Source organism: Homo sapiens, chromosome 4 (genome assembly GCF_000001405.40).
Source record: "Homo sapiens chromosome 4, GRCh38.p14 Primary Assembly".
Lineage (NCBI taxonomy): Eukaryota > Metazoa > Chordata > Mammalia > Primates > Hominidae > Homo > Homo sapiens.
In genome coordinates this window covers 10,745,303-10,767,904 of record NC_000004.12, presented here as the reverse complement: position 1 = coordinate 10,767,904, position 22,602 = coordinate 10,745,303, and the positions used below count along the sequence as shown (strand labels likewise).

Below are 22,602 nucleotides of genomic sequence, written 5' to 3'. Positions count from 1 at the left end.
CAATTCTACAAAATGCTTTAACCCTACTGTCACCTGAGTATCTCTAAATGCTCTTGTCTTCTGGCTATTTGCCCTGAACATTTAAATTTAAAATGGCTTAAACCTCATTGTCCATAAAGGAGAGAACCAACTCTCTGCCACTTGGAAGTAAATCTCCATAGATCATGAAGACTTCATTTCTATTCCCTTCTTGTTCTAGCATCCTTCCTTCCTCTGCTAGATTCTGGACCTCCCTGTGTTTCATCTTCCATAGTTGATTTATTCTCAAACAACTCAAACATCGTGACAACCCCTTTGCCCTTGGTTCTCCAAAACAACTACAAAAGCAATGTTTTTCAGAGATTCCTGAAGATTTGGGATTGGCAGGTAAGCATATCACTGAACATATACCATAAAATGATATTTCTAAAAAATATATTCAGACATACTATTCTTAAAGTTTCTTGTTTGCATAATACTGGGGAAATGTCACTGGTTACTTCTTCTTCCTGCTAACTTTGTACGAAGTTGCTCAAGAACTCCCTGCCTCAAAACTACCTCTAGTATCTTGAGCTCTGTCACCTCTACTGTATCATTTCCACTAAGACTTCCAGTGGCTCCAGTCGCCCCAGGGAATTCCTAACTTGTGTTCATAGATTGGAATAATTAATATTATTAAAAAGTTTATATTACTCAAAAAATTACAAATTTAATGCAATCCCTATCAAAATTCCAAAGACATATCTCATAGAAATGGAAAAAGAAACAAAAATTCATATGGAACCTAAAAGACCCTGAATAACCAAGGCAATCTTGATCAAAAAGAACAAAAATAGCTGGAATCATCACACTATCTAACGGCAAAATATACTACAAAGCTATTGTAACCCAAACAGCAAGATACTGGCATTAAAAGCAGATACATAGGCCGGGAGCAGTGGCTCACACCTATAATCCTAGTACTTTGGGAGGCCAAGGCAGGTGGATCACCTGAGGTAAGGAGTTTGAGATCAGCCTGACCAACATGGTGAAACCCCATCTCTACTAAAAATACAAAAATTAGCATGTGTGGTGGCATGTGCCTATAGCCCCAGCTACTCTCAGGAGGCTGAGTCAGGAGAATCGCTGGAACCCAGGGGACAGAGGCTGCAGTGAGCTGAGATCATGCCACTGCACTCCAGTCTGGGTGACAGAGCAAGCCTCCATCTCAAGAAAAGAAAAGAAAAGAAAAGAAAAGAAAAGAAAAGAAAAGAAAAGAAAAGAAAAGAAAAGAAAAGAAAAGAAAGGCAGATACATAGACCAATGGAACAGAACAGAGAGCCTAGAAATAAATTCACACATTTTTAATGAACTGACTTTTGACAGAGTGCTAGGAACACACAATGGGAAAACACAGTCTCTTCAGTAAGTGGTGCTGAGAGAGTTGTATATTCACAATCAGAAGACTAAAATTAGACCCTTATCTCATCCCATGTACAAAAATCAACTCAAAATGGACTAAAGACTTAAACATAAGACCTGAAACTGTAAAATTACTAGGCAAAAAAATAGAGAAAATGCTTCATAATATTGCTCTAGGCAATGACATGTATTTTGGATATGACCCCAAAAGCACCAGCAACAAAAGCAAAAATAGACAAATGTGATTATGTCAAACTAAAATCTTCTGCACAGCTAAAAAATCAATCAACAGAGTGAAGAGACAACCTAAGAAATAGGAAAAAATATCTGCAAATCCTGTTAAGTTCTTAGAATGGGTCACCTCTTGTGATGGTTATTTTTATGTGTCAACTTGGCTAAGCCATGATTCCTGGCTTTTTGGTCAAGCACAAGACTGAATGTCACTGTGAAGGTATTTTTAAGAGGTGATTAACATTTAAATCAGGAGACTCTGAGTAAGGTAAATGACCCTCCAGAGTGTGGATGGGCCTCATCCAGTCAGTAGAATGAAAGAGAAGACTGAAGTCCCTAATGAGGAAGGGGTTCTGCCTCTTGACTGCCTTTGGATTCAAGACTGAAACATCAACTCTTGGTAGAATTTCCAGTATGGAATACTGACAATTTTGGACTTGCCAGCTCCTATAATTGCATAAGCCAATTTTTAAAAATAAATCTCTTTATATATTTGTGTATGTATGTGTCCTATTATTTGTTTCCCTGGAGAACCTTGACTAATGCCCCTTTTCTGGCCTTGCACTGCTCTTTTGACATTGCTCTAGGGCAGAGGGGTTATCATATTTCATATCCAACTGGGCCTATCAAGGCATGTCGGCAAACACGGCCAACAAACCCTGAGGATATTTTCCCCAATCCCTAAGAAGGCACAACAAACTATTGGCAGATGGTAGTTGAAGAGTGTTTTCCCTCTTGAATACACTCTTGTTTTGCTTTTGTTTGTTCATTCATAAAGTAAAGAAAATGAAAATTCCAGGGATTGGATTATTTTCCCCCAAGCTATCACATGGTCAGCCTGAACTCATGAATTTCAAAGTTCACGTCTTCCATCATGCCTCACTGTCCCAATAATGTCACAAGAATTAAGACAGATGCACATTGCATGTCTTGGCTCAGTCAGGAACAATTTAACTGGAAGATGAAGACACTAAGACCCTGTAGAATGGGTTGTTCATTCCAGGGATGGTGGGTAGAATGATGGCAGAAGGAAAGGCAGGGAGATGGGGAAAATAGATGATTTATTTGGGGAAATGGGGAATAAAAAAAATCTTGTTGGAACAGAGACTACTCTGGAAACAGCATTGGAATAGGTAGCATAGCTAGAATGAGTGTGAGACATGTTTTAGGGAGGACTTGAATGCTAGGACAATAGCTGCTGTGAAGGACTAAAATGGGTAGCAATCGTATTCGAGTTATAACTGTCCTGTGTGTAATGTCCTTGGACCCCTAACTCTGGGCCTACCTAGAATAAATGAAGAAACTTAACTGTGCAGGAATCAAGATGATGACATAGACATAATTCATAATTTGCAGTCCCTCTTCATATAAATCTGAAGGTCATTTTTAGAATGTGAAAGGCACTTGGGAGGGTTAAATTATTTTTCTCTCATGCCTCTAAAAATTCAAAGCAGATGTGTTTCTGTCTATTATCATAAAGATGCTGCTGACGAGGAACTGCCTAGAAATGGGTGAGATTTCAATGTTGACCTAAAATTGTTCCCTCCTGCAAGATGCTACTTGAAGCTCCACAGCTGTGGTTTCTTTCCTTAGTTTGTTGGTCTTCATCCTGAGGTTTTTCTTGTAACTCTCTCTCCTTGAGCTAGGCCATATTGTTGCCCATCAACTTCTAAGACATTTAGTGCTCCTCCCCTCCTGCCATCTGAATTTTGCATAGACTGATCCCTCTGCCTGAAATGCTCACCCTTAACTTTCTTTCCCATTCATTTCCTACTTGTCCTGCAGATTTGGTTAGAAAGTTCCTTCCCTAGGAAAATCCTTTGTGGGAGTTGGACCTGGGCAAGCCTATTAGACAACACTTATAACACTTTCATGGCAGCTTGTGTATGTAATTCCCCATCTCTGACATCCTGTGGGCCCTATGTCCACCTGTTTCCATTTGATGCTTACCCTTCCTTCAGGTCACTTGAAGTATTACCTGCTACCTGCTGCCTCCCATCTCTACCTAAGCCCCACACTGACTATGCTCACTGCTTCCTTTACTTTAAGCCACTGATAGTATACACTATAGTAGATGAAATACTGGCATCCCATAGATATTCTTGTCTCAATTCCCAGAACCCTGGAATTTGCTACCTTAGATGGCAAAAAGGACTCTGCAAATGTGATTAAGTTAAGAATCTTGAGATAGATAATCCTGGATCATCTTGTTAGTGCTAAAGTAATCACCCACTGTGTTGAGAGAAAGAAATGAGGGAAGCAAGTGGCTACAGTCAGAAGAAGGTGATGAGACAGCAGAAGCGGGGGTTGGAGTTATGAGCTTTGAAGATGGACACGGGGATGACGAGCCAAAAAAAATGTGGCTGGCCTCTGGAAGCTGGAAAAGGCAAAAAAACTGAATTTTCCCTGAAACCTAATGCAGAAACCCAGGCGTACTGACAATTTGATTTTATCCCAATGAGACTATGTTGCCCTTCTGACCTCTAGAAACTGTATGAGAATAATTGTGTTGCTTTAAGCCACAAAGTTTGTGGTAATTAGTTACACCAGCAATAAGAGATGAACACACATATCTCCTTGCTTCATTGTAATAGAACTTCTCTCCCCATCACAAAGCCAGGTCTTCTCAAAGATAAAGAGCTTTCCTTACTCACCTTTGTATTCTCAGCTTGTGTCACAAAGCAAACACAAAGATAATCTTAAGTTTAAAAAAAACCTTTGTTTTAAAAAGGATAATTTTAAAAATACTAAATAAATATATAAATGGATAAATCACTCAGTCTACCAAATTTGCTGGAATGGGCTTTTTTGCTTAACTTTTAAACAAATTTTGTTTTGAATGTTTTATGAAAATGTGCTTCCGAAGAAGGGCACGTACCCTTAGTGGACAGCTCAATGAATGTTCACAAAGTTACTATCCAGCTCCAGAAGCGGAACATTCTCATTGTCTTTAGAAATCCCCATATGTCTCCTTCTGCTCACTACTCACAGCCCAAAAGTTGCCACTCTAGCAGTTTCTACCACTATGTGCTTCTTTTTCAAATAATGCATTCACATGACGAAGAATTCCAATAATCAATAAACATATACAGTGAAAAGTAAGTTGTTGTGAACGTGTTCACTCCTGATTCTTTCCAGAGGCAACTGCTGTCAACAATGTATTGTGAATCCTTTGAGACATCTTTGGTTTATTTCAGTATATATCTGTTGGCTTTTGAGTCACCTTCTGCAGAAAGGTTGTTTTTGGATTAACTGTTACCTTTAATTTTTACGCTAAACCAGCAAACCAAAGCTAGGCATTTTGGAAGCCAACACGCACAGCACAATTCTCAAGAAAAATTACCTCACTCTAGCAGCTAGGGTGCCCACATTGCTTTGCTCACTGACCTCATATCCATCTCTGGCCTGCTGCCCCCTGCCAGATTCACATGCTCCATGATACTAGAAAAGGAATTTTAACATGGCCATAAAGAAAGCAGCTTTGAAAGAAAGCATATTAGTAATAGCTCCTTAGAGGTGAGTTGGCACCCCGCTGTCAAAATCCGCCTTCTGTTTAAAGCCGAGAAAACACAGGCATGTGATTCACTGGTGGTGTCAGTATGTGCATTGGGTGTCAAATTCCAACTGCATGCTGGAGTTGTCTGCTTGCTGGAAAAGGCCGGATGCAAGTGAGAGCCTTGTTGGGGGTGCAGTCATGCAGATGCTAACTCTAGACACATTTAAGGCAATGTGATTCTGACACACTCACCATCTGGGAAAAAATGAGCCTCTCTCTTCCTTTATGCTGGGACAAACCACATCTCCTCCCAGAACTCACTTTTGTACCCCTAAGAAGGCAGTGGAGGACAATAGACACAACATGGAGTTTGGAATCAGGAAATATAGGTGCACCCTCTGCTGTATCACCTAAAATCTCTGTGGCTTTAGAAAGGTCATTTGGTCTTGGAATCTCATATTACATGCAGAAAAAGGAAAATGATGACTTGCTCTCAGGTAGTCAGGTTATTAAGTGCACTAACAACATATGCAAAATTATCTGCACAAAAATAAGCAATCTTGATTAGCCCCCATCTCTTTTCCACTAGAACATAAAAAACCAAAACTCACATATTTCTACCAAAAGTCAGCTTCCCTCTTTCTATACACATTATTATTGTTACTCACAAGTATTCAGGAAACAAACACAAAACTTGGAATCATCTTCAATTCTTTCTTTTCCTTGACTCCTAATTAATGAATCATCCAGTTCCCCCAGACCCTTCCCTGTGATATTTTCTAACAAGAGAATTCCAGGCCAGGAGTGATGGCTCATGCCTGTAATCCCAGCACTTCAGGTGGCTAAGGTCAGGAGTTCGAGACCAGCCTGGCCAATATGGTGAAACCCTGTCTCCACTATAAACACACACACACAAAATTAGCCGGGCGTAGTGACACAGGCCTGTAATACCAGCTACTTGGGAGGCTGAGGGAGAAGAATTGCTTGAACCCGGGAGGTGGAGGTTGCAGTGAGCTGAGATTGCACCACTGCATTCCAGCCTGGGTGACAGAGTAAGACTTCATCTCAAAAAAAAATAAAAAAATAGATTCCTTGACTCCTGCCCCAACTCAAGCAGATCCCTCCTTCTATCTAGTCCAGCAGTTCTCAGCCACATTCATCTTTACCCCCACCCCACCCCAAGAATATTTGGCAATGTCTGGAGACAATTTGGTTGTCACAACTGCGGAGCTTCTACTGGGGATGTAGGTGCTGCTAAATATCTTACAGTGCAAATGGCAGCTACCCACATGATATGGTTTTGCTGTGTCCCCACCCAAATCTCATCTTGAACTGTAGCTCCCACAGTTCCCACATGTTGTGGGAGGGACCTGTTGGGAGGTAATTGATTCATGGGGAGGATCTTTTCTGTAGCATTCTCCTGATAGTGAATAAGTCTCATGAGATCTGATGGTTTTATAAAGGGGAGTTTCCCTACACAAGTTCTCTTCTCTCGTCTGTTGCCATGTGAGACGTGCCTTTCACCTTCCACCATGATTGTGAGGCATCCTCAGCCACGTGGAACTGTGAGTCCATTAAACCTCTTTATTTTGTAAATTGCCCAGACTTGGGTATGTCTTTATCAGCAGCGTGAAATTGGATTAATATACCACAACAAAGCCTATGTGGCCCAAATGGCAGCAGTGCCAAGGCTGAGAGATGCTGGTCTAGCTGTAGCCTTTTTGTGACCTAATGCTTTTCCACTGTTCTCTGCCAGGTTAATTTTCCTAAAATTTTCTCTGATAGTCTAGAACTTACAAGGATTCCTTATTTTCTAGAAGATCAAGCCCCAATATATAAGCCTACTTTGTTTACCTGTAGAAAAAGAAAATTAACCTTAAAAATATTTAACTTTTTTGAGAAGTAAATATGTACCAGAAACTGTTCTAAATATTTAACCTACCTTAACTCATTTTATCCTTGAAACAGCTCTATTAAACTTAAGTGTTCTTTGAACTCTGATATTATAAGATGGCTTTCTTTAATCAAGCTTGGAACATGGTAGACATTCAATAAAAATTTATTGAACACCAATAGCTAACAACAAATTGACATGCTAAGATCTGTTGAGCTTATTACATAACAGGTACTAAGTATCTCATATATATTGCTTCATTTCATCATCAAAAACAAACATTTTCCCCAGTAACAGGGAGAAAATGTAAGTGTTTAACTTAGTATAGCCAGTCAGATTCTCATATAGTTTAAAGCCCATGGGAAGACAGACACTAACATAAAATATCATTTTTTAAATCCCTAAGCTGTTTTTTAAATCTACAATGGGAAAATTTCTTTGAGGCTAAAGAATCTAGATGTAAACATGTTTCAGCCTCTTTTATCCCTGTCCTGGCAGAAAATAAATATCTGAAGACCTGTAGGTATGGAACTTTGAAGGGGTTATCTCCTGCCCTCTGGTGTGCATGTGTCTTATGAAAGTTTCCAATGAACTAGCCACGTCTTGCTCATTCTATCTGACTAGGATAATATCATGAACATCACGGACTGGCGTCTGTTCTGCAGAATGTCCAGCTGTTCCTAGAATCTTCAGATCAGGACTATGTATTAAAGCAGGGGCAAGTTAATATAGCCCTAAGCAGGACAGTTCAGAGTTGGGCTATTGTTCATTCCAGAGCAATGCAAACTTTTATCCTGTTTCTAGTAGGGATCTAAAAGAATGGCTTGCTAGATTGATGTGCACATGCAATGTACCTGGAAACATGTTAACCTGCTCTAGTAACATCCCACACACGGTCTAGCATCTGTAATCAGGGCCACTCCTTGGATGAATTGGCAAGAGTTTTTTATTGTCCATCAGAATCCGTGTGGGTTTTGTAGGATCTAGACTGAGACATTAAATTACAAAATAATGGAGACCACTATCCTCACATACTTTAAATCTTTAAGAGTGATATTAATTTCTGCCACTTCCCTCGGTATTCAATATTATTTAGATTTACTCCTTTGGCCAAGGGACATCCGGTTTCAGAGACTTTTGCTTGGCCTTCCTTATTACAAAAGCTCTTACCTATTAAGCCAAGGAATCTGCAGAGTTGTGACAACCACCAAGGATGTTGTAAAACATTCTCCAGGGCTTCCATGACAAAGTACTACAGACTGAGGGGATTAAATGACAGAAATTTGTTTTCTCACAATACTGGAGGCCAGAAGTACAAAATCAAGGTGTTGACAGGGTTGGTTTCTCCCAAGGACCCTCTCCTTGACTTACGGATGGCCATCTTCTCCCTGCATCTTAGCATGGCCTTCCCTCTGTGTGTGTCTGTAACCTAATCTCCTCTTCTTATAGAGACATCAATCATATTGGATTTGGACCCATCTATATGACCTCATTTTACCCTAATTACCTCTTTAAAAAGGCTATCTCCAAATAAGGTCATATTCTTGGGTCCTAGGGGGTTAGGACTTCAACATATAAATTTGAGGGAACGCAATCCTGTAACAAATGTTTATTCCAATGACATAATTGGGGAGCAGGAAGAATGATTACCTGGCAAGTCCACAGAACACTCACTGGATGCAGAACACCCCAGGAAATGAATGAGCTTGGGTAATGGAGCTCTCTGAAGCTGAGGCCATTTTTACAAGAACTGGAAGCTGAGGGCTGTCTGCAGCAACACTTTCACAGCTGGAGACTCCATCCTGTCATCCTAAAAGAAGTTCTGTGTGACACATCATAGCATCCACCACACAATACTTAGGCATGTTGATGGCATTCAAATGGATTAACCAATAGATTTGTTGACAATTTGCTTAAATGTTTTATAAATGTTTAATCTGATTAATTAAAAAGTATACCACTCCTCCCCAGGTGACTAATGACAGTCATTACTCTAAGCCTTGGTGATTTTGGACATTCCATTTTCAGCAACAAGGTAAAATTCAGTAGGTAAAATAAAATAATAAGTGAGGTGTCAAAAATGTCTGCATTTTCATTTAGCTGTCGTAGAATTCCCTTGCTACTTAAAGTCACCCATGAAGCAGCTGCAGCTGCATTCCCTTTGAGCTTGTGGAAATGCAGAATCTCAGATCCCACCCAAGACCTACTGCATTGTTACAAGATCCACTCAGGTGGATTCCTATTCTCATCAAAGTTTGAGAAGCATTGCCATAGCTGACCTTGAGCAAGTAATTAACCTCTCTGAGCCTGATTTCATCTGTAAAACAAGGCAATTATAACCAGAAGGCCCCTTGGATGCCTTCAAGTTCTAAAATGCCGTGACAAATCTGAGCTGAGTTTGATCTTTAAAAGTAACACTGTGCCTCTCACAGAAAAAACATTGAACTTTCATCCCTCCTTATGCATGAACGTTCTGCTCCCTGCAAATTTGACTTCCATCTGTAATTGGCAATTAAAGTCATGGTTGAAGGGAATCTTCTGATAGCCTCAATGCAAAAGACATTCTTGTTAATGTATCAGCTCTGCACCTTAAGGCTAAAGCACCCTAGAGGTGTTTCAGGGTGACGTGCAAATGTGCTAGACCAACACTTATTGGAGTTGGAGTAGTGATTTGGGTAAAGAGAGAAAAGATTATTACCAATTTTACCATTTAGTGACTTGACCCTCAACAGAGGACTAATGACTCCTGGTTACCCATTACAATTTATGGCAATGCTTCATTTAGAAGCAGCCATCAGCAAGATAGTGACGAGAGACAAGGGGCAAAGATCTGAGATGAATGAAAGTTTTCTTTAAGGTTGAATACCAAATTATCACCCATTCTCTCTGCATGGATCATTTGAAGCCCTGGGCTCCCTTCTAAATTAAAAATTCCCACATGATAAAAAATTCCAAATACTTGAATGATGATCTGCACACAGAGTTTGATGCAAAAAATGTTAGTCAAAGCTTACCATCAAAAGATATGTTCACTTTTTATAAACATCACAAGTACAAAGTTGCAAGGCTGGTAAAAACTACACAGCAATAATTGCTTGAAAATAATGCCATTATTATTAATATTAATGCCAATAAAATAATTGTAACTAGCCTGTATTGAGCACATTCTGAATGCCAGGAACTTTTAAAATGTACTTTATTAATTCTTAAAACAAAATAAGAAGCATACCATTATAACACTCATTAAGCAAATGAGGAAACTGAAACTTAGATTAAGAGGTGCTCCCAATGTGGTGAGGCTGGAATAAAAACCCATATAATGTGATGCCAAATTTCTATTCTATGTATAGAATATGTATATATATATGTCACAAATATTCATAATAAATATGCATTATATAAGTTACCATTCCTATTTTATAGATGAGAAAAGGTCATTTACCTGTATCCAGGTTCACCCAAGTTTATGGTTAGGCCAGGTGAAGAGAGTTTGATCTATTCCAGGCAGAAGCCTTGCCTCTGTCCATGGCACCCATCACCGCTCAGCAAACCAGCCTGTGCTAGATTTTTTCCTATTTGTTACAACTACAAACTAGTAGACAAAGCGATGCCTATCTTAAAATCCCCATCAAGTCTTAGGTCTAGGTGACTTGACAGAGACCGATATAATATATAATAAAAATGATGTTTCAACTTAAGTTTACCATAAAAAGAAATGACTCTCCATTTTCCAAGGAAATAAGCCTGTGTGGAACAACATTATTCTATTAAAGATTGATCAGAAGATTCATGTTTCAAATAGATTCAATAGTTCAATCTGCAGAAATATTCCAGGTGGCTGCCAAATCCATTTTATGATGAGGAGTATTGGCTGAGATAAGTGTAGTGATGTGAGGGGCTCTGTGGGTGTTCATTTGTATCCCCTCAGCATTTACCATCCATTCATACTCCCTCGTTGCCAGTTGCCAGAATCCAGGCTGTCTCCCTAGAAAGTTTGGTTTTCTTTAGAAGACAAGTTTTGCCTACCTGCTTGCCAGGCAGGCCAGCAGTGCTGGAGTGTTATTACCACCACTACCCAACAGCCTTTAATCAATGCCTGGTTGGAGCTGATTGCTTAATGCCCCAGAGCTCCCTCGCCCCTTGGCAATATAACTCAGATTTGTTCTCCACTGTTTCTTAAAATTCCTCAGTGGAATAAGCTGTCCGCAGTGCCAAAATGTGCATGATCAAACATTGCTTGATATAATAATATCTTCCTTATTAGCTTCTTATTTTTTCTGTCCCTTACTTTCTCACTCCTCTAGTTTTTCCTGGGATCACCTTCTAAATAAATTTGCATTTGAAGCCTTAATTTAGGTTTCTCCCAGAAGCAAAACTCTGAGACAAGAGAGATGACTTTCTGAAGTTTACACTCATATAATAAGTTGAGTGTTTTCCTTATGCCTAGCACTAGAATAAGTTTTAGGGATATTACTATAAACAAGACACCTCAGGGTCCCTTCTGTCATCATCACCTGTCTAGTAGGCAAGACACTGGGAACAGTCAACAGTCCAGTGAGCAAGACATTGAGAAAGTAAATGCAATTTTTCTAAAGGGGATAGCCACAGTGACATAAAAGGTATTTGTGAACAGAGTTCCATTTATTTTGATATTTAAAGAGAAGGTCATGATCGAGAGAATGCTCTGAGCAAAAGGAATAGCAATCAGAATGGAAAACCAAATAACCATGCAGTGCACTGGGGAAATAAGATCACTGTGGCTGCAGGGGAGAGAGAGTGGCAATGAAATGAATTATGAGGATGGGGAGGTAGGCAGGGGCCAGATCTAGAAGTGACTTCTAATTACAAGTGTTTCAGAATTTGTCCTTAAACAATGAAAATTTGTTGTAATATTTAGTATAAGGCAGTAGAAAGACCGATCTGGCTAAAATGTGGAGACTAGCTAGGCGTAAAGAAAAGAACTGTGGCTGGAAGACCAATGAAGGGATCTCAGATTTCTAGTCTGGGACTTTTACAATATATATTGCTTCTTTTGGATGGCTATTTCACTGAGGGGTTGAGTTTAGCAACACACAACAGAAAATTTATATAATGGAAGCTTAATCAAGTTAGATGTTTATTTTTATTCTCTCACATAAGAAGTTACTGAGTAGGTGTTTTGTTGGCTATGGTTCATTGGCTTGAGGATGTTAAGAACAAAGTCCTTGTGTCTATGTTGGTAGGCACTGTCTGTATAGTCACAGGATACTCAAATCCCAACAATCTCAACCTCTATTTCTGCATTCTAGAAAAGCAAATATGGAAAGGAAAGTGGTTAAAAGATATTGACCAGCCAAGTCCACTTTTTAAGGGTCTTTTGTAAGAGTTTGCCTAATGATTTCTGCTTACACAAAGTTATCCCAAAGTGTGTCACATGGCCATCTTTAACCACAAGGGAAGATGAGAAATGTAGTTTTTAGATGAGAACATTGCCAATGAGCAAACACAAGAAGCCTCATCCATTAAGAAGAAAGGGAAAATGGATATTGAGGAAGCAATTAGTAGGCTCCACCCAATATATGTACAATAAAAAAGATTAGATGAAAAAACAAACCAACAAACTACAGCAAGATAAACGTTCATAACAATGATAACAATTCTAACAATGCCTCTGTTTGCAGAACATTTGTATTTTTTAAAGTACATTTTGTGAGTGCAATTCCCCTGTTTAATATAGTTAATAAAATAGTGAAGCATAAAGATATTGATGTTTCACTAAGCAGAAATAACCCAAGAAAAGCTGAAAGCATGATGAATAGAAATGGCAGAGAAAACAACTTCTCACTGAAACTTGCGTTGCTTCTTTACCACAAATTCTTTTTTCTGGACTTTGCCTTACATGTATAATTAGTTGTGCTTTCTGGAGAAGATGCATGGCAGGGCCATTTACAGAAAGTACTAAGAGTACTGCAAACTAGAGTTCAAATCCAGCCTGTTCATTCACTACTCATGAGAAATGAACTTATCCTTTGAGCCTCAGTTTCCCCCCTTGTACAATCTGGTAAACAGCACCTGCCTTACAGCCTTCAAAAGGTTTCAAGACAATTTTTTTCTTCTCTGCCTTTCTCTCTCCCCTTTCTCTCTCACTCTCCATATATATGTTGTATATACATATGTATATACATTTATATATGCATTTTAGTGTTTTGTATTCTCCACTTTAGTGTGCTACCATTATTAATCAAACGCACTAAAAAGAATATTTGCGTAACAAATTTGCAGAGCGGTAAGTGCTACATTTTGACTTAGCAGGGAGAGAAAAGGGTGGTTATGTAGCCTAATGCCAAAATGAGACAGGCTTTGGGAGTGAAGTGAGGGGGTTTGCTCTACACTTCACCCACCATAGGCATTTTGGAGCATTTCCAGGTGTTAGAGAGAGTCCTTTCCTGGCTCCAGCAGCCTCCTTCAGCACAGAGGTACTGGATTAAGTACAAAGAGGAGTAAAGAGAATGGGAAAGTTTTTAGGAAGAAAGACTCCAATTTTTGTTTTCCCTAAGAATGGTATGTTTGAAATGTGACCAAAGTCTTCATTACCTAAAATAGTCTCTTTCCCCTGAAAGAAGCTTTGGGAAATGTGGTTGCCACAGAGACTCACAGCTTGAGAGGAGAAAATCCCCAGGGCCTGTGGGATCAGCCTATGATGCAGCCCATATGCATGGCTTTAAGCTTCATGCTGCGAGTCCTTCTTTGAATGACTGTGATCTTCCATCCCCTATCACATGCCTGCAGATCATGGAACAAAATTAACTGAACTCTGCCTCTTGCTCAGCTCAGTTAAGCCTCTCAGAATTGCCAGGAGGAAACAGGAAAGGCCACTCACATGTATCTCAGCGTGGTTGACACCTGGCCCATAATTCCAGTGGAATCCAGCCATCATTTACCAAACATGGACTTCATGCCAGGTTCTAGGCTTCACTCTGGTGACCAAGAATAATAAAGCATAGGTTCTTTCTCAAGGAGTCCCCAGTCAATTTAGAGAGGGCCACTTATGCAGGAGGCAAGGGTCAGGCTATCCACCTTTCAGAGAATCTTGGGAAGTTTCTCGATGGAAGCATTTTTGTTTTGTTTCTTGAGTTGAGCAAGAAACAGCAACGTGAACTATCAGGCAGAGAGTCAGCATGCTCAAAGGGACAGAGCAGGGACAGAGTTGGGATGGCCTGGAGGCTGGAAGCAGCTTGACTAGAAGGCCATTTTTGGAAAAAGATGCTGGGTCTCATTATGAATGCAGAGCTAAAGCATGTGATCATTTATCCTACAGCCAACAGGAAGTTCATAAAAGATTATTCAGATACTCATTCAAGTTAATAGTTCAGCAGCATAAAGAAGGACTTGGAGTAGAGCCACACCGGAGAGGGGAAGATGAGCTAACAAGCCCATGTGAGAGTCTGAGGGAAAGGCAATGGAGGTGGGCCCTCTCCTGGGCAGCAGGGAAAGAATCAAATGAGAGGACAGAGCTCCGTATACATTGTGCACACACGGCCACCACGCGAAGTAATGTTCATGACAATTCAATTTCAACTTTAGAGATAGGAAGAGGAGGTATGGTTTATCCTAGGGCCAACCTCCGGCCTTCTTGGACACAATCCCAATTTGTCCATCCAGGGCAGTCTGTGGACTCAAGGTTTGCAAATGAGGCATGCCTTAATGGCAAAAAGCATAACTTGTCCCCAGAATTTCTGCCAGGTTGATGAATATCTTGAATGCTGTTAAAAAGACATCTTGCCAAGGCGGGCAGATCATAAGGTCAAGAGATCAAGACCATCCTGGCCAACATGGTGAAACCCCATCTCTACTAAAAATTCAAAAATTAGCTGGGCATGGTGGCGTGCTCCTGTAGTCCCAGCTACTCAGGAGGCTGAGGCAGGTGAATTGCTTGAACCCGGGAGGTGGAGGTTGCAGTGAGCCAAAATCGTGCCACCGCACTCCAGCCTGGCAACAGAGCAAGACTCCATTTAAAATAAACACAAACAAACAAACAAAAAGATCTTTGGCACACATGGAGAGGAATTTCAGGGATACAGCTGGGGCCATTAATTTAACCTATCTTCATTTTTGAAAACGTCAAATACAAGTTTTGAGAATAAGTCTCCAGAATTGAAATGTCTTTGCTCAGTCAGTCCCTTTCTAAGTGATTACAGGAGTGACGTCCTGCACGGTCAACTGCAGTCTGAAGCAGGTGTGTTTAGAATATATTAATGGTATTTGCTGGAAAATATAACCATTTCCTGACATTTGTATTAATTTCTTTGAGCTGTTGGCTTATATCTGGATATTAATTTAAATCTCTTCCTAATTTTAATTAGAGGTATGATTTAACAGTGTTGAGTTTTTTTGCTTTTTTTCTTCAAAGAATGAATGTTAACTTTACCAATCCAGGATTTAAAGTATCTGTATTTATTTCAAGACTTAACAATGAGTGGGGATTAATATTTGGATAGGGGATATATAAGTGCATCCACTATGCCTCTGGAAATTAATTAAAAATGTTTTAAGATTTTTAAATGGTTTATTTAGTTAAATCATCCCAAAGTAATGAACTGGAGTAAGCCAAGCTTAACTATAAGTCTTAGGTATTTGAGTGTTTTCTAGTGTCTGTGTTGATCCCACCTCAGTATTCAATAACATTAATATTCATTTCCTTGTCTCATCTCTTGTTTTGCAGCCCTACTGCAAAATGTAGAGGCTGAACCTGTTCACCCATTTCATGTTCAACTGCAGCACTGCTCAATTCCTTTTGTCGTCTTTCTTCAGACATCATGCTGGTCCGTGCCCATTTGTGTATTTTTTAAGCGTGATTCTATTTTTAATTGGCAAATAATAGTTGTATATATTTATAGGGTTCCATGTAATGTTCAATACCTGTATACATTATGGAATGATCAAATCAGGCTAATAAATCCATGCCCATTTGCTTTTGCACCTCCAGTTGCCTCTGTTTGAACCCCCTCTCCAGACCTGTATACACCTCACAAATTCCTGCATATTATTAATAGTCAAAACTTTACTGAAACATCCCCTTTAGAGTAAAGTCTTCAATGCATCTTCTAGACAGAACTTATACATTCCTCCTTTTATCATTTCTATCCTTTGAACAACTATATTTGTATTCATAAAAGGGCCCTTGTGTTTAAATATTTGTCTCCCTTTATCCCCCCGACAAGGCTTAGTGTAGGGCTTCAAAAATCGCAGTGATTAAAACATCTGAATTCAACTTCCTGAGTTCTTTCAGTGTTGTAATTAAATTAAAAAGTTGGCTTTTTTTTAACCTGCCAGGTAAATTAAACTTTCAATTTGTCAACAGTATGGGTTGAGTTCAGTCATATGTTGGAAATTTACTTAGTGCTGTTATTAAATGCCAAGTGAAAGAAATTGCAGAGCAATCTATTGATTCTAAAGCTTAGAAATTAAAATTTTCTATTTTAAGGAACGCCCCTGATATCAAGAATTGAAATGAAATATCAGCGATATGGTCTGATTAAACTCTGTGAGTAATACATCAGAATTTCCTCTGTGCTAGGAGTTTTCCTACATTCTTCTCCGAAGGAACCAAAAGTGAGACCTTTAATGAGGAGCAGAACCCTACTGTTTGCTTTCTTCTTTGGTTTCTGATTGTCCGGGACCAACCTGAGATGCACAGAAAGGATGAAGTGTATGTTAGAGGCATGTAACACAATCAAGATTCAGAAATTATAGTCCAAATGAACTTTTATCATTTTAAGCTCAGAAATGTAATAAACACACCTAAAGCTTTCTTTAACAGCAAAATTCTTCAGCAAACTCTCATAATACTTTTTATGAAACCCAGGATTTTATAAAACATGCTGCCAACAAACAATTCTCTAGTCTCGGAAACATCTGTCTAACTTTCCCTATTCTCTATGTTGTCATTATTATTCACTTACAGCATAATGGGCCAAACACACACAGAGTTTGGCTCTCCATACATGGGTTTGAATTCCAGCTCTGTGAGCCTGGTGGCCACTGGCCAGCAGCTCACCAGTCTCCCTTCGGTTTCCTCCTGTGGGGATATCGCATCACTCGGGAGCCCACCTCATGCTATTGAGACAGGGGAGATTGCTCCTTCTTCAGACAACATCCCCTCTCCCTCTCTAACTTCAAAGGGAATAAAAGTAAACGTTCATGTTTAAGCTCCACTTCTAAAGAATGCCATATTCTGATTTATCTTTTAATCTGCCATGAATTGAGAAATCACAAATCGCCAAGTTTATTTGAATTACCTAGGAATAAAAATTAATCGAGTTAGGGAAAACAGAGAAAGAAAATTCCAGAAATGCATTTAAAAGTCTACCCTCAGGAAAAATCCAGAGATGTCTGTACATTAGTGAGGAAGCCACACTGAACAGCTATCATCCTATGTACATCAAACATTCATTCAACAATTGTCACTTTGCCTGCTGAGTCATGGTCAATGGACTGAATGCTGCAGATTCAAAGCTGAATTAAGATAGAGATACCCTTTCTGCAATTCAAGAACTAATAATGTAATGTGGGGGAAAGGAAAGCAAAGAGTACCTAGTTTGGGAATCAACTACATTCCCAATGCTGTAATAAAGCAGATTTCCAGGTGTGGCAAGGAGAATGACCAAGTCAGGGGTTATGTGTCTCTCCACTCTGTTAAGGGACATTGGGCTATGGTTATCAGAGAAGGCTTTGCTGAGCAGCAAGTGAGGAGGGGCTTTCTGAGACAGAATGGACCATGATCTGAAGGCTACATGAAGTGAACATCAGGTTCTAGGCTAAGGAGGAGGAAATTAACTGCATAATCTGATTCGTGTTTTGAAAATTTGTCATTAATGAAACTGCCCTCTTGTTTTATAAGATCTTCAATGTCTACATAGTTGTATTGCAATTTACCAACAGTTTATTGTATAGTAAGTGGTCATCATCTAAAAATATCGCAAGAGATCATGAATATAGTGAAAGAATTCACTCTTTGAAGTTAATACAGTCCAGCTTCACTTAGCAAGAGCGCTTGGGGAAGAGGACCTTTGCTTTAGTGAGGAAAGGAGGTGTCAGTGAGTTGTAGGAAACACATATCTGTGGGTAACAAAAGCTAAAAAATCCCATTGCCTCTGGATTTCTAGGAGAAAAGGTATCAAATCTATTTTTTCCCAATTTTCTATGGTTTACATAAAATTTTCTGAGACCAATTTCTTTGTCATGAACTATTGTTTTGCATACCTTCATTTATCTGTTTCTGAATGGAAGAAAAAATGTTTTACTGAGTACCTACTATGTACCAAGCACAGAGGTAGGCCTTTTGTCATGCTTTATTCATTTAATGTTCACAAAATTACTAAGAGGTAGATGCTATCATTACATTATAGACAATGAGTTGGTAATTCAGAGGTGGTTTCCTTGCCAAAGCTCAGTCTTGGCTTTCAATCATCATTCCTTTCAGGACTGCCATGTTTGGTCAAATGGGTTGTGTATGGTACCCTCTGGGGTTGTGCAGGGTGATAACATGATTACACCCCTATGTGGCCCCAAAAGCCAGTGTGAAGTGCCGCCTAGCCCGCTATCCCAAGAATCATCTTCAAATCACCAGTTCTCAGTTATATTTGTATTTACGGCAGTGAGGTCTTGGAGAAAGGGCTCCATACATTGGGCACTCAATACATTTACATTTGTGACTCACTGTGGATATTTATTTTGTTCTCAGAAAAATCAATCTGTGGAGGAAAGCAAAGTGTAACAGTTATTTCGAGGCTTCAGTTAGTAGGATCCAATTAAATGGGTTTTCATGTTACAGTCCTATCTCATTTTCCTTACCCAGAATCCTGAGCCCTCCAGATTTCAGCAAACAACACAGGAAAAGACAAAGATCCCAGAGCCTCCAGAACACCTCTCAGAAAGTTCATGTTCTGAAGCATTGGCAAATTGTCTTGGTGGCTGACTTATATTTCCCTTTTGTCCCTTTACACAGTTTTTCCTAACTTAGAACCTTTTTGCTCTTAATTTCAGTAGAACTGTAACGTGATTGATAAATGGGTTGACCAGCCCATGGCACAGGCAAAGCACCAAATGAGGTCTCGGAGGGATCGATGCAGGAAGCAGGCAGTGAAGGCAGAGAGAGAAGAGCAAAGAGAAGAACCAGAAAGAAATAAAAAAACCTAACAGTTGGCCATCTTTCATGTAAGGGCAGACATCTGTCCAGATTTCAAATAGTGTAACTCCAGGGGAGGAGTTCCCAACCAGCCTGTGCTGGTGCCATTTGGTTGAATCATAGTGGAACTCATTGGTTTACCTATGTCTTGGATGCTTTTCTGCTTCAATGATAAAGTTGAGTTGTTGTGAAAGAGAGCCTAAGGCCCATAATGCCTGAAATTTGTATGAAATCTATTATGACTTTTTATTAAAAACATAGGCCCTTTTCCAGAACAATCCATGTTACAAGGATATTTTTTCCCATTCATCAGATTAAACTCACTTCTGTGGGTCACTCTTGGGTTCTCTGGAGCAGCTGTAGAGTCATCTTGTCACCATGGTACTACTAGCATGGTACCGAGACAAAGATTCTCCAACATGCAAAGTTGTTAAAGGATATTGATGCTTCTAATAGTAACCTTCCTTTACAGGAACATTTGCTTAAGCGATACTAATGGGTTTCTTCCACCTGTAATATTGTCTCAGATATCTGTATGGTGTACAGTTTTATTCAGGGCTCTGCTCAAATGTTATTGCCTCAAAGAACCCTCCTTTGACCAGCAGACCTAAGTAGGCATACTCTTTGTCTCCCTAACAACCCTACTCTATATTTTAAAGCACTTAGCACTAACTCCCGTTGTATTGTTGAAATGTTGTTTTATTATTGGTTCCCTTTCATTAAAATACATCATCTGTGGGGTCAGACACTTTGCTTATGATTTTACTGCTATATCCACACTTCTGATAAACATATCTGGTTTGCTTAGTAGGTGCTTGTTCAGTGAATAAACGAATGAAGTCAAGCAGTGGTGCTAAATAGATAACATATTACCTCCCATTAATGGGTTAAATCAGGAGCCTCGGAAAGGAAAAGAAAAAAGATAACCAAGAAAAAATAATTTTCTCGTTAGAACCTGAACTGTTTCTTTAGCTCCAAGTTGTGCCAAGAACTCTAACAGAATTGTCAAATAAAATGTTTCTTCTATTCTCTGGTGAGGCTACGAGACATAATGGCATGTGCCTGGAGTAATACGGGTCTAAATTCAAATTCCGGGTCTGTTTCTTAATATTTGACCTTTTTATATAGAAAGTATGTATGTATGTATATATATATACTGATGAAGATTAGCTGCCACCAAAGGTTCCTATGGGTATTAACAAAGATGATGTGTGCAAAGTTCCTAAATGAGAGTCCAGCCCTCAAGGTGTTTGACTGGTGGTTGGGTTTGCTTCCTCTTCTAGCAGGACAGTTGCCCGTTGGAGAAGTGAGATACAGCCGCTCACACTTGCATCGCCATCCTTTTCTAAAGCCTCAGGTCCTCACTTTTCATTTTGAAAGTAAAAATGCAGACCGACAGTAGTCCCTCAGATGAAAGTCCCTTGGGTCACAGTCTCCTTTGTTGGGATGGGGGAGGCTCACACCTCCCAGGCAATTCTGAGAAGTCTTTAGAAAAGGGCTGCAATTTGTTTACCATTTCCGACAGTCTTATTTGTTGCCATAGCTTGACTTTAGGCAGCCCTCCTACCAGCTGCCTCATTAAAATAAAGCCCTCTTTATACCTTCAGTGGCCAGTGGCCTAGCACATAAAAAGAACTGCTAGCCACTCCCTAGATTCTACCAGTGCTTGCAGCCAAAGTTTGGGCCTCCTCATCAAGGGTGGGTACACATTCCCCATCCTCGACCTGCTGCCAAATAGCTGCAATGACTCTAGAAGCTTTTGGAAAAAATATCCTTCAGCATAAAAGGCGAATTTTATACTCTAATCAAAATAACTGCCAAGTTAAAAACATTCTATGAAAAGGGTGCTCTGGGAGAAGAAATGAGAAGCAAAGGAATGTTCTCACCCAGACACTACCTCACTGTGGTAGGAAAAACAGAATAAAATAAAATAAATAAATTGAAAGATTTGCATTATTCCTTTCAAGAGAAAGTGTCCAGTTCAACAAACAAAGAGCCTTTCTGAAATGTTAAGGACTTCTAATTATGACTAATAAGCTTGGCCTCACACTAACTTCCAGACCTAAGATTTACAGCCTCCAGCTGCTAGGAGGATTTTACTTCTCCAGTAGGATCCTTCCAGCTAATGTAGTTGATTTTGTATGTCTACAATGTTGAGGAAATGGGGAATTTCTAGTCTATTAACTAATTCAAGTCAGTAGTAACAAATACAACCAGACGTGGTTTCAAATCTTGGGTCCATTACTTCATGGCTGTGTAATCTTGAACAAGATCTCAGCCTCTCTGTGTTCAATGCTTCATTTGTAAAATATGCAAAATGTTGCCTAACTTTTATGGTTATTTGGAAGGAGCAAGAGGTTCTTTTCAAGGTGCCTCGGACACCACAGCTGGGAGTAATTGCATCTTGTTTCTTGACCTCTGTACACCGCACTTTCAGACAAATGTAGGAAAGGTCTCAGGACCATAACTTGAAAACCCTTGACTGAAGTGATGTAAATCCAGATACTCAATGTGTAGAAGACTTAAGGGGATATGAAAACATTTTCCTGTAAGTGAATAGACTTCTACAGGTGACACGAAGGAGTCAGGAAGAAAGGATTAGCAATTGCAAGGAGGCATTTTAGTTTAGATTTAGGCCAATATGAAATACTAGTTAAAAGTAGCCTGTGAAGTCAAACACAGTTCAAGTTCTTTTATGAGCTATGTGACTTTGAATTTTTTTTACTTCCTGTGCCTCAGTTTTGTTTCTGTAAAATGGAGCCCACCATAACCTCAAAACCAATTTATGACACAGTTATTAAATACTTAGTGATATAAAGCACTTTGTGCCTAGGTCATAATAAACACAACAAAATGCAATGTATTATAAAAATATAATGTAACAATACAATGATAATAGCAGCTATTAAGCTTCCTAACATGCAAACAAACTCATCCAGAGAAAGAATAGTGATGATTTCTGTGTTTGGTGTGAGACTAACACAGATGAAAACATTTTTCAGGAGAGGATTCAAGCAAACTGAAGATCATTGTCCTAGAACATGCTCAAGATTCATTCAGATCTTAGGACTCTAGGATTCTAATGCTGCCACTGTTTTCAACTCAATTTATGTAGGGTTTTGAAATAACAGCTTCATTGAGGTACAATTTATAGGTCAGAAAATTCACTGTGTCAAAGTGTACAATCCAGTGATTTTTAGTATACTCAGAGTTGTGCAACAATTATGACTATTTTATTTTAAAACATTTCATTTCTCCTTAAAAATTCGCATACCAATTAGCAGTCACTCCCTATTTCCCCTAACTTCTTCTTCTGAACAACCTCCAATCTACCTCTTGACTATAGATTTGCCTGTTACGGACATTTCATAGAAATGCACTCATATGATATGTGATATTTTGTGACTGGCTTCTTTCACTTTACATGTTTTCAAG

The 22,602-nt window shown here is 39.3% G+C and overlaps 1 long non-coding RNA gene across 5 annotated transcripts in view; it reads right to left on the bottom strand.

Annotated features, from left to right (window-relative positions):
* The window catches only part of LINC02498 (long intergenic non-protein coding RNA 2498), a 71,347-nt gene that overhangs the window by 41,033 nt on the left and 7,712 nt on the right, over positions 1-22,602 (bottom strand). For 2 of the 5 annotated variants that reach the window (XR_925377.3, XR_925378.3), the window contains exon 3: positions 8,652-8,811. This is a non-coding gene — a long non-coding RNA (long intergenic non-protein coding RNA 2498). Of the gene's footprint in view, positions 1-8,651; positions 8,812-15,533; positions 16,665-18,313; positions 18,734-22,602 lie in introns of those variants that run through there. The other 3 variants (XR_925376.2, XR_427495.3, XR_925379.3) reach the window with 2 other exon arrangements.